General features: G+C 46.6%; 1 protein-coding gene across 29 annotated transcripts in view; it reads left to right on the top strand.

Annotated features, from left to right (window-relative positions):
• Positions 1–12,266, top strand: part of NTRK3 (neurotrophic receptor tyrosine kinase 3) — a 396,989-nt gene that overhangs the window by 16,309 nt on the left and 368,414 nt on the right. The window contains exon 2 of one of the 29 annotated variants that reach the window (XM_017022245.3): positions 4,519–4,573. The gene's annotated coding sequence lies outside the window, so the exon portion shown is untranslated. 29 annotated transcript variants of the gene reach the window in all.

Raw genomic sequence — 12,266 nt, 5'->3', positions numbered from 1 at the left:
TTTCATGGACACAGGTGTTTTTGGCCACATCCTCACAGAATGTCCCCTGCGTCAGGGCAGGATGGGGCTGGCCTGTGTCCCATCACTGCCACAGTTTATCGGGTGTGTCGGGATCGGGCATTGTTGTCTCTAAGGTCTCAGTTTTCTTATATTTAAAATCAGGGGGCTGGACTAGGTGATCTTTGAGATCCCTTCCAGCTCTGACTTGTGATGTTTCTATGGCGGTGGCTGGGGACGGGATGGGAAAGTAGGGGAGCCATACAGATGCAGCAGCCCTGGGTTTCTCTGGGGGCAATCCTGTGGGGGAGGGGAGGGGGGCTGTGCTCCTGCACACAGGTGCGTGGGAACCTTGTTCCTGTGTGTGTGTGTGTGTGTGTCTGTGTGTGTCGCTGTGTGTGTATATGTGTGTTCTGGAGACCAGACCCTGTGAGTTATTAAGCTTTGGCGTGCATGCGCATCACCGAGGGCTGTTAAAACACCGACCGCTGGGCCCCACCCCAGAGTTTCTGATTCCGAAGTTTGGCTGTCAGGCCTGAGAATTCGCATCGAGTCCAGGACCACACTTTGAGAGTGACTGTTGATATTGATGGCTTTCACACTGTACTCCCTGGAGTGAGATCAGAGGCGGGGTGGTATTCTGCATAACATTTTTATGAATAAGATTTCCTAGACTGCAAAAAGCCTGCATCCTTCCATTCTTGAAGAATACCAGCCCACTCCCAAGCACATTCTGCCAGGCCTTGTCCTGGTGCTTGGTTCTCTGTCTGTTTCTCTCTCCCCTCTTCTCTCTGCACCCCTGATGTGGTGCCTGGTTCTCTCCTGACTTTGGCCCCATGCTGACCTTTCCCTAAGGGCTGGACTTGACCTGAACCTGCCTTGACCTGCGTGATCCAACCTGTAGTTGAGAGATGAAAACACACTTGTTACAGAATGCCATTCCAGACTCAAGTGGATTTGTAAAAATGATCTGGGAGGTAGAGTAAGTCATTGTGTGACTGCGCCTCAAGAACCTTACTTGGCTCCCACTTGCCCCCAAGGTGTAGTTGAGACTTCTCTCTGTGGCACTCAGAGCTGTTCATGTTCAGGCTGCAGCTCCTCTTTGGAGTCCTGCCTCTCGTTATTCCCCATGGGAATCCTCTGCCCCAGTGAGCTGATCTGCTGTTCATTCCTCAAACATTCTCAGCATTGTTCACTCTCAGTCTCGTGATCCGGCCACTTCCCCTGCCTGGAGGGCTTCTGGCCTCCAGTTTGCTTATCTGGGCCCTCCCTGTCACTCCAGTCCCACCTTTGAGAGGTTCTTTGTTGCCCAGACCCATGTTTGTGGATTATTTTATCTTTCCACTTCCTGGAGCTCATAGTGCTAGCAGCTGCTGTGTGTTAAGCACTGTATTCAGGCCTGGCAGTGTATATAGTCACTCATTTAATCCGCACAGCCACTGTCTGAGTGGAGAACTGCTCTCGTCTGACAGATGAGGAAATGGAGACCAAAAGATGCAAGAGCTTGTCTAAGGCCACAGCGGTAAATAACAGTGAGGATTCCAGCCCAGGCTGACTCCAGAGCCCATGTTCCCATGTTTATTGCAGAAGTGTGTGCAAGAGCAAAACAACTGGAAACAAGCTGAAATGTTATCAGGAGGCATTTGAATCAAGAGCTGAATCACGGCATAGTGAGATGATGAAATCCTGTACAGCAGTTTCAGTGAAAACCTTGTTCTCTGTGTGGTAACATGGCTATATTTTGAAAACATAATGCTGGTGAAAAATATAATAAGTTGCAGAGTGACATACCATATATACACGTTAAACATCACAATGACCGATATAATACGTTGTTTATAGACAGAAAGATAAAATCGTGGGCTGAATACAAACCAATTTCGTGACAGTCTTGGCCTCTAGGGAGAGAGGGAGAGAGGAAAAGAAGGGTATGTACAGGGCTCTTAACTTTACCTGTAATGTTTATATTCTGTCTTTTTTTAAAGATCTTGGCATTTGACCCAATGGTAATGTGTATTAATTCCAGGTGATGAGTAGATAAAATATTCAATACAAGATCCTTTGTTTTTTCTTTATTATAATGAAACTTTAGAAGCCCTAAGCGATAAAAAGATTATTATACCCACTAGATTTATGATTTAAAATAAAAACAATATTAAAATCCTCATATTTCTTGGCTGGGGCTGCCATAAGAAGGTCTCACAGACTGGGTGGCTTAAAAAGCATATGTTTGTTTTTTATGGTTCCGGAGGCTGGAAGTCCAAGATGAAGGTGTTGGCAGGGTTGGTTTCTTCTGAGGCCTCCCTCCATGGCTTGCAGACGGTCGCCTTCTCACTGTATCTTTACATGGTCTTCTCTCTGTGTGTGTGTGCCTGTGTCCTAATCTCCTCTTCTTATAAGGACACCAGTCATTTTGAATTAGGGCTACCCCAATCACCTCATTTAAACTTAATTACTTCTTTAAAGACCCTATCTCCAAATACAGTTACATTCCGAGGTACTGGGGGTTAGGACTTCAACAAAGGAATTTTGAGGGGAACACAAAAATATTATAACAATCATAAAACAAAAAAATGCATACCTGATGAAATTTAAAGCACCATTTTTAGATTTTCTGAGTGCAGAATTCTGTGGAAGTTCATCAAGGCTGATTTTTTTTTTCTCATTTTATTTTGGTGTGTCTTGTTGCGAATGCCCAAAGTGTCTGCTTAGTCGGTCATGTAAGCAAGAGAGCCCTGTGGAAGAAGTTGCACGGTCTTAGGTGGAATAGAGGTGGATAAAGGGAAGGACACACGCAAGCAAGTGCAACATCTGAGAAGGGTCCACAGGACAGTTCTGTGTTTTAAATTTAGATCTCAGGTGTAAATAAGCAAAACAACTCATATATAAAGTGCATGATTTCTAGCTCTCTTATGAATTAATTAACTAATTATTTCAACAGCTACCAGTGAGCACCACACTTGTGTCAGTAACCATGTTAGGCATCCCTCCACCCCCACACAATGACAACGGGCTGGGACCTTCAGCTCTGGGGATGTGGTTTAGCAGTAAGAAAGAACTTCCCAAAACAATGGGTCACAAAATAGGGCTATGGAATTGTTTTCTTTGGGACATGTAAATACATAGGATCCCTCCCATCCCATCATTTTATTATGCAAATCCTCAAACATACAGAGAAGTTGAAAATTTTGCTGTGAACATCCATAAAACTACGCCCTAGACTCTGCAATTAATATGGCACTCTACTTCTTTATCACATCCTCTATCCATCTGTCCAGCCCTCTATCCACTCCTTAACCCATCCTATTTTTCTGATGCATTTCAGAGTAAATTTTAGATGTTGGCATGCTCCCTCTACATACTTCAGCATGTATGTCATAAAATTAGACTTCGATTCTTTTTCACTTTTTGAGCTAATATTTATATTTAATGAAATGCGTTACTCTTAAGTGTGCATTCTCTGAGTTTTGACAGATGCGCACGCCTGTGGGACCCAAACCCAGTGAGAGACAGAACATTACCATCCCCCAGAAAGTTCCCCACATTCTTCCCAGTCAGCATCTGCCATTGCCTCCCCAGGGGGAGCCACTGTTTGGGAGATTTTTCTTTTCTTTTCTTTTTGTTATCTACTTTTGAGAGTAGTGTTTTTTTTTTTTTTTTTTTTTAATTTTGGTAGCTTTTGGAGTACAAGTTGTTTTTGGTTTCATGGGCGAATTTATAGTGTGAACTTGTAGAGATTTGTACCCAATATGTAGTTTTTTTTTTTTAATCCCTTCCTCCCTTCCGTCCTTCCCCTTCTGAGTCTCCAAAGTCCATTATATCCCTCTGTATGTCTTTGCAACTTCATAGCTTAGCTCCCGTGTTGGTATTTTTCTTCTCTTTTCTTTTTTACAATTTTTTTTTTTTTTTTTTTTTTTTTAATAATAGAGGCTGGAGTCTCACTTTGTTGCTCAGGCTGGTCTTGAACTCCTGGCCCTAAGTGATCCTCCTGACTCAGTCTCCCAAAGTGCTGGGATTACAGGCATGAGCCACAGTGCCCAGCCTGTTTTGGGCTTTTTCACAATAGATGACTTTTCCTTCTTCTACAGCTTCATAGAAATGGAATCATATAATATCTGTTTGTCAAAAATGTTTGTGAGATTCATCCACATTGTTACAGATATCAGTGTTTGGTTCCTTTTTATTGCTAAGTGATATTACATTGTATGGGTAACCTGAATTTATCTGTTCTCTTGTTTTTGGTTGTTTCTAGTTTTGGAGTATTATGGATAAATCTGCTATGAACATTCTTGTACAAGCCTTTTTGTGAACGTAGGCTTTCATTTCTCTTGGGTCATTCCCCAGGAGTGAAATTTCTGGGATGTCTGATAAATTTATGTTTAACTTTATAAGATACTGCCTGACCTTTTTCCGAAGTGGTTGTAACAGTTTACACTCTAGGACTGTTTTTGATTAATCTGGGTTAGGAGAGACACATTTATGTGACTCATCGAAACAGGACCTTGTATCTTTGCCTTGCAGAGGAAGAAATTGAGGGGAAGAAGGGTGGCGTCACTTGTTCAAGGTCATCCAACTGGTAGGTGGCAGAGCTGGGATCCTGTTTGACTCAAAGCCCCAGGGGGGTTCCTGTTGTGGTGCACAGCTTCTTGCTGCTTTTTGCAGAGGAGTGAAGCAGGCAGAAAACAGATGACTGACTTCTCAAGGGCACCTTCTGGGGTCCTCAGCCCAAGGACATCCCCCTAGGGTCCTCTCAGAGCTCCCTTCTTCTCTGTGACACTGTGGAAGCCAGGGCCTGGTGGGCATTTGGTGCTCTTTAGCAGGGCTGGGTCGTTTCCTTGGGGTTCTCCATCCACCCCAGTTGTGCTGCTCCTCCCAGGGGCCCAGGCTGAGTCTCATGTGCAAGGGATAGATGAATGCCACTCGAAGAGGGCCTGGTCCCACCAGAAAGGCAACTCCCCTGGGCTTGTGTCTCTCTCCCACAATGGTTTAGCTGCGAGTCCTGCTTGCTGAGTGCTCAGATGTGGGTTCCGGGAAGGCCGAGACCAGTGAGTGTCCACTGTCTGCGGCAGGGTACTGACTGCGTGGGTCCAGCGACCAGCCCAGCCTGCCAGCTCAGAGCCTGGAGGCTATTGTGGGTAGGGTAGACAGCGACACAGGCCTTACTCATTCATGTTGGTGATTCTGTGATGTGCAAGACACAACGTTTCTGGCCTGGGACCTTACAATTCAGTGGATAGAGGCCATCCGTTGATATGCAAGCAAAGAAATCAGTACAATCATATCAGGAGTAAGAAGTTCCGTGAAGGTACTCAACAGAGTGCTCTGTTATGAGGCATGATGGGGAGGTGAGGAGGCTGCCTTTGTGTAAGGGTAGGGCGTCTGGGCTCTCGGAGAATGGATTGTCCAGCTTCGATCTGTCAGTGACAGACAGTCAGAGCTTCATGAGAACTGGAGCCAGAAGTTTCCAGGCCCAGGGCGTAGCCAGTGCAACGCCTCTCAGGTTGGAAGGGGCTGGAAGTGTGTCGGGGGCTGGATAGGAGGCCCTGGGAGCAGGGCTGAGTAGGGTGCGCTGGTGGGAGTGGGAGGTTGGAGAGGTCTGCAGGGACTAGATCAAGCAGGGTCATGCAGGCTGTGGGAAGGGGTTAGATTTTAGTCCTAGCAAAATAGGAAGTCCCAGAGGGTTTTCCTTTTAAACAAGAGATGATTCGACTTACAGCTGAAGTGATGGGTGTAATAAATGTGTTGGAGAAAGAAGCACAAGGTTGTACAGATTTCTGTGAGGGGGTGCTTAATCCAGGCTGGGCATGCAGAGAAGCTCCCCAGAGGAAGGGGCAACTGAGCTGGAACTGGAGGGATGAGCAGGCACTAGCAACATGGCGAGGGCAGAGGCGATGGAGAGCTAGTCTAGAGGAGGGAGCAGCGTGAGGAGGGCCCCTGAAGCAATGGTGTCTTTAAGAAGCTGAAGAAAGTTCATTCTGGCTGGGGAAGTCGAGAGGGGAGAGACTGTGCAGGCCCAAGGAATATGGGCTTCTTATAATGATGGCTGGTGTTTGGTCCAGCTTATCTTTGTCTTTCCAGTGTTTAGCATATGCCTTGCTATATAAATGCAGGGCTGATGCATGCATCAATCAATGAAGGAGAATGAATGAATGAAGGAAGAGAGTGCAGTCTGGAGATGTGTAGGCTATGGGAGCTTTTTGAAGGTCGAGCGGGGGGCGATGAGAGACAACCTTGGATCCTGAGAGGGGCAGATGTGATTGGACTAGGGTGCTGTCCATCGTCTCCTGACTGAAGGTCCAGGCTGCCTGGCAGGCTGGCCTGGCACAGGACGGTGACTGTGGACCTCCTTTGCCATGAGAAGAAGGCTTGGTCCCACCCGAGAGGCATCGAGGTGCATGGTGGCAGAAAGGGACTCCAGCTCAGGAATGGCACTTGCTAAAATATATTTGTTTATTCGGAGATTTAATTAACATGTTTAAATATTAAAGAGGAAACAACGCATGTCTAGTGGGACTCAACATTTACCAACAGTTCTCACTTATTTAATGATTTGTTTTCACAGCCCTGAGAGCCATGTTTCTGGCTTTGTTCTAGGGAGGCCAGAGGGAGTAGAGATTCTCTTGGACAAGGCAGGGAGGGGGAGCACTGGATGTCAGGGGAGGAGGAGCAAGGTGTAGGGAGGAAGGGGGCAGGGAAGGAAGGGAGAGTAAGGAGGACCAGGAGGAGAGGGAGGAGAGGAGAGCAGTTTTCTGAAGAGGTGGACCTCTCCAGGCAAAAGAAACCAAGACCCTGCATTTGGTTTTTGTGGAAGGAAGAGAGTTTTGGAGTTTCAGGACAGTAGGGCTAGCCTGCAAATTAAGGAGGCCTGTGGCAACTAGGAAGTCCTTGGGGGAGTCTCTGCAGCTGGGGGATTAGAGGGTCTTGGGATTTGCTCTTTCGAGGATGCTAACTGTGGTTTCAGTGTGCTAACTTTCGTGGGGTGCCACTTCTCCCCAGGATGCTTAAAGAGCCTGCAGGCTGTATGGCAGCAGCCCATTCCCTTGCCTTCACAGGGAGGGAAGGATATGGACAGATAATAAGACCCCCAGCCACCACTGCAGGTGGAACTGTGTGAAGCCAGAGGTGTTTCACAAGTGATCTGCATTATAATATCTCTGCAAATGAAGTCCTGGATACTGAGAGATTACACTGGGGGCGGGGGGGTTATTTATTGGCAATGTGCTCTACGGTTTTAATTTTTTCTTTTTGCTTATTCAGGCTTTAGCTCCAGAGGAAAATAGCCTGGGGTGGCTCCGAAATAGATTCTCTCTGCCCCATTAACTTATTCAGTGAGTTTAATGGTCCCTTCTCCCCTCAGCCTTGAAGCCATCATTAAGAGGCAGAGATTTATAAAAGCGAAGACACTGAGCTTTAGTCAAACTTTCGCTCTGGGCTGGGGGGAGGGTCTGGGTGGAGGTGCCCCCTCAGCCCTGCTGCTGTGGATACAGCCCATGAGTGGGCCCAAGACCCTCAAGACGGAAGCTGTAGGCTGGGGGATGGGTTCCTGGGTGTGTGGGGGTAGTGACATCACTCCACAAAACTCTTTAGGGTTGAATGATCCCAGCTTCTCCCAGCTCTCACAAGGCAAGAATGTTATGTTGTCACTGAAGGCCTGGAGGCTGAGTTTTCTGGGGTCCTCAGTAGGCCTCTGGGGCCTTTTCTTGGTACATCCCACTGCCCAACTCCTGGCTGCTCACTGCCTGCTTTGGTTCAGTTTACTGCAAATCAGCTCCTCAGAGGTTGCTTCATGGAGGTATTAACTTGTCAGAAGCCGGTTCCTTTCCAGCCAAGTGTCTAGAGGGCCAATTGCCCAAATGACCAATGAGCAAATGGCCAAAAGAAAAACAGCCACATTTACCAAAACTTTGATTTAAGGAATATAATTATTGAATCAAGCCAAGTTAAGCCAGTCTAATCCAGGGCTGTCCAATTCAGTGCAATCCAATTCAATCCACTTCACTTCCTCCATTATTTGAGCATCTGTGCTGTGCATAGCCAGATATTGCAGAGGGTACAGCAGAGGAATAAACTAGGTCTGGGAGCAGATTAGACAAGTGCATCTGTTCTGTAAAGGAAGATGGATGTGACAAGTGAGGTGGCGATAGAAGAGGATGCAGTGGGGTGGGGTGGGGTGGGTTTTAGGAAAACTTTGAGGATGGTGCCTATATAGGGGGGTCCCTGGCTGTACAGGTAGGACCTGGATAGAGAGGGAGGTGAGGCAGGACATTTCAGGCGGAAGGTGCAGCACACAGCCAGAGTGCCCAGTGGGGTGGGTGAAGTGCAAGATCCCCCATCACCTGGAGGTAGGGAGCATGGAGGGGCCATGAGCGGCCACAGATGAGCTGTGGGATTCACTCGGGGAGGGTCTTGAATGTTGGGCTGAGGCATCTGTACCTTATCCGGTTAGTGACTGGAGTCACTGAAAATCTAGGAAGACAATCTTAAAGAAAGTTCAAATGGCTCAAAAAAAATTTAAGTATCTTTGTTAATGGAAAATTGAAATAGTGAAAAGTAGGAGATAGAATAAGAAATCACTCAGTTCCAGCAACCAGGAAAAAATCCCCCCTACTCTGATGGATTTCCTTTCAATCTTACAGTAGGTTGATTCTATAGTAAGGTGGATACTAGAGTCACAAGGCAAAAAGTGATCTCTGAAAACTCTTTAAACCGCTCATGAGTGGACACAAGTGTGTTCACTATGAAGAACACAGGAGTGAGATCAGCTAGGGTACAGCGGGTTCAGCACCTCTCTTACACTGGTGTTGATGGATGCTCGCATTGAGTGAAATCGAGGCAGAAACACCAGCCTTTGAAACCTGGTTATTTCTCTTCTCATTTTTCCTGGGTGCATAAAGCTAAATTTGCATAGACTCAGTGTGTAGACTAAAGAAGACCATTGCATTTGTGTGTGTGTGTGTGTGTGTGTATTTACATATACTTGGGCAATTATTTTTAATCTGCGTTTCAAGAAAGAGAATCTGAAAGTGACACAGATTGAGGAAGAGGAGAAGCAAATAGTGGAGAAAGAAGACAGGAGGCAACTACAATAGCTCTGGATGGGTGATGTGGGTGGGGGGCAAGGGGAGCGGAGAGGAAATATATTTCAAAGCCTATACAAAAATGTTAAACAATGCTGATTTTCATGTGTTGAGTGTGAGAGTTGGAGGTGTTAAGGTGGAATAAAATGCCCAGAACTTGGGTGAGAAGGGGAACAATGCTGCCTTTAGCAGGAAATGGTTAGGGGGAGAGGTCTGTGACATCTGTTTGGAACACGTTGAGTTGATGGTGGTTATGAGAGATGAATAGCATGCAGGTTAGAAATGGTCTGGAGCAAGACATCCTCCCTCTAATCAGCAGACCCATGTTGGTTAAGTTTATCAACACAAGAAACCAGCAAGAATAGCTTGTTAAAGAAGGGGGGTCAAGACTTGGCCATGTTCTGAGAGCCCATTCTGCCATGGCTACCAGCCAGTTTTCTCCATGGGCGTCAACCAACTGGCATGTCTTCAGGAAATGGGCTTTCTCTTGTGAGAGCTTTATTAATATTGGCTTAAAAGACATTTTACCTTTGTCTTTATTTACAGGGTGGTTTTGTCTGAGCTTTGTTAATATTGGCTTAAAAGACATTTTACCTTTGTCTTTATTTACAGGGTGGTTTTGTCTTTTATGTTTCCTCTCCCCATCCCCACTCTTCTCACCAGGTCTGTAGGTAGAATCGGGCCTCTGTATCCCAGAACAGGTATACTGCAAGCTAATAGGAGAAGGCAAGAAGATTGGTTGGTACATGATTATTAATAATAATGAGAAAAATTAAAATGATTAAAATTAAAATTGATGGCTTTTCAAAATAACTTTTTACTCTTCTTTGAGGAAAGCTGGCCAGATTTTTTTGTTCCATTTTACAGAGAAGGCAATGACTTTTCCAAGATCTACCTGCCTGTTAGGGGGCAAACAGGGCCCTTCTTGCAATAGTCAGCTTTCCGCGATCATGATCTCTGAATCCAAAATGAGAACATGTGCTCTGCAGAGGTGAGGATACTTGTGGGAACAACAGGTTTCCATATATGAACTTTGAGCCATCCTAGAAAATTCAGGCATCCTCTTATCCTGGTGGATGAAGTACTTATAATGGTGATGATGATGACTGACAACAATAGGAAGAAGAGCGTCACCCAAATTGGGTGCTATGTGCTGAGCACTTTTCATTCAGTGACTTTAATTTAATTTAATCACAGCTGAACAAGGTAGGTGTTATGATTCCCACTTTTTAGATGAAGAAACTGAGACAATGGAACTGAGGTCACATGGCCAAGGTCATCCAGCTAGCAACACTAACTAGATTGGAGTCCAGAGCACACGCTCACACCCCTACAAGTTACAGATGACAGTCTATGGTCTCTCTGGACTCTTTGTCCAACCTACATCTGGAGGTGGTGGGACCACCCTGTGCTACCCAGTTCTGTACAATGGCCGCATTGTGACTTGGTTAGATTTTCCAAGCCGGAACAAATGTTCCTGATGTCAGTCCAGTGAGAAATTCTGCTCCATGTTCCCTGGGCTACACTGATCCATTCATCTTGTATAAGACAACCATGTGGGGAAGTAGATAAAATATTTGTACCATTGATTGCTTTATCTCATGTGGATGGAAGGTGGGAGTGAGCAAGTGCCCATGAGCAGGTGAGGGAGGCTGCACCCACCTGTGTGCAGAGAGTGACCAGGGCAGGACCTCAGGGATGCTGGTACCCCTGGGGACATTGCCTGTTGCATCCAGATCTAACTCTGACAAGAGTTAACTGGCAGGCTCTTCTCAGGATCCCTTCTGGTGACAGACTGTGTTAGTTGCAGACCAGGGTATCTTCTTTTGGATGGGAGTGACGAAGGCATCCATCTTGAGGAGGATGTAGTCCCTCCTCACATCTTTGAAGGTTCATATGGAAGATTTAGTAAAGTGGATGGTCTTTCCAGTCATTGAGTCACTCAACAAGCTTTGGGATGTAACATGGAGAAGCAGATTGGAAAGATCCTGAGTGTAAAGATCAGGCAGATTTGATCCTAGTTCTCCTGCTCATGGGCTCTAGGATGTTGGATAAGTCATGTAACCTCTTCAAGCTTTAGTTCCTCCTGGAACCTCATCCCCCAGGGTGGTTGTTAGAGTTGAATACCATTATGTATGTAATCAGACAGGCTTGCGTTTGGCTGCAAGTAACTGAAAACTGGCTTGGTGGCTTAAACATATAGGGGTTTATTTTTCTGATGAAAATTAGACAATGGGAGATTGGCTGGTGTTGGTCCAGCACTCAGCTATGTCAAGGGTGGAGTCTCTGCCATTCTCTTAGCCTTTCTCTCATGGTTGCATGGTGGCTGCAGCCAATATGTCCTGGTGAGGGGCAGATAGGGTCAGGGAGGGGTAAGGAGTGAGCACACCAGCAAAGGAGGGAGCTCCCCAGAGGTCCCCCCACAACACTCCCACCCTTAGACTTCTGCATATGGCTCAGGCTTCAAACCTGGCCATCCCTTGTTGCCAGGGAGGCTGAGCAGATGAACATGTGGCTTTCAATCTCTATGGCAAGGTGAGGTGAAGGGGGCAGAAGCTGGAGGGGCTTCTGGGGGTGCTGCCATATCTAGAGAGCTTGTTGGCTTGCAGACCTCCAGTTCCCCTCTGTTACTGCGTGTGAGGCTTTGTGGAAGTTATTTTGAGGATCACAGTGATGACCCCAATAGACAACTATAATACAAGGGAAGAGGTGAAGAGTACTGGGGTCATGTGCTGTGGGTTTTCCTGGAGGAGGGTCTGTTTCTGCCCAGGGGAATCAGGAAGGCTGTGGTGGGATCTGAGTGGTGGGTCACAACTGACCAAGAGGAAGGGAGTTGGAAGGGGCAGCAATTACCACAGCTCCCAGAGGCTCTGAGTGCAGGTGTAGACAGATCCTTTATGCACTACAGGGTAGTATGGGGGCAAGGGGACTGATAGGATGAGACTCATGTTTCAGGAAGATTGAGCCATAACAGCCAGCCATGGATTGGAAGTAGCAGACAGCCAGGATGGGGAGATCCAGCGGGAGGTGTGGAATCTCTCCAGATGGAGGGATGAAAATCAGATATAGGAAGAGGGGGTGGGAGAGAGAAATGGCATGGAGGTCAGAGTGGCAGGATTTGAGCTGAGGGGGCATGCATGGATTCTCAGTGCTGGGATTTCCAGTGGGGAGCCCAGGAGAGAGGGGAGTGAC

The sequence above is a fragment of the Homo sapiens genome, chromosome 15, assembly GCF_000001405.40.
Source record: "Homo sapiens chromosome 15, GRCh38.p14 Primary Assembly".
Classification (NCBI taxonomy): Eukaryota; Metazoa; Chordata; class Mammalia; order Primates; family Hominidae; genus Homo; species Homo sapiens.
Note: the sequence above shows the minus strand (reverse complement) of the source record. Positions and strands in the feature narration are given on the sequence as shown.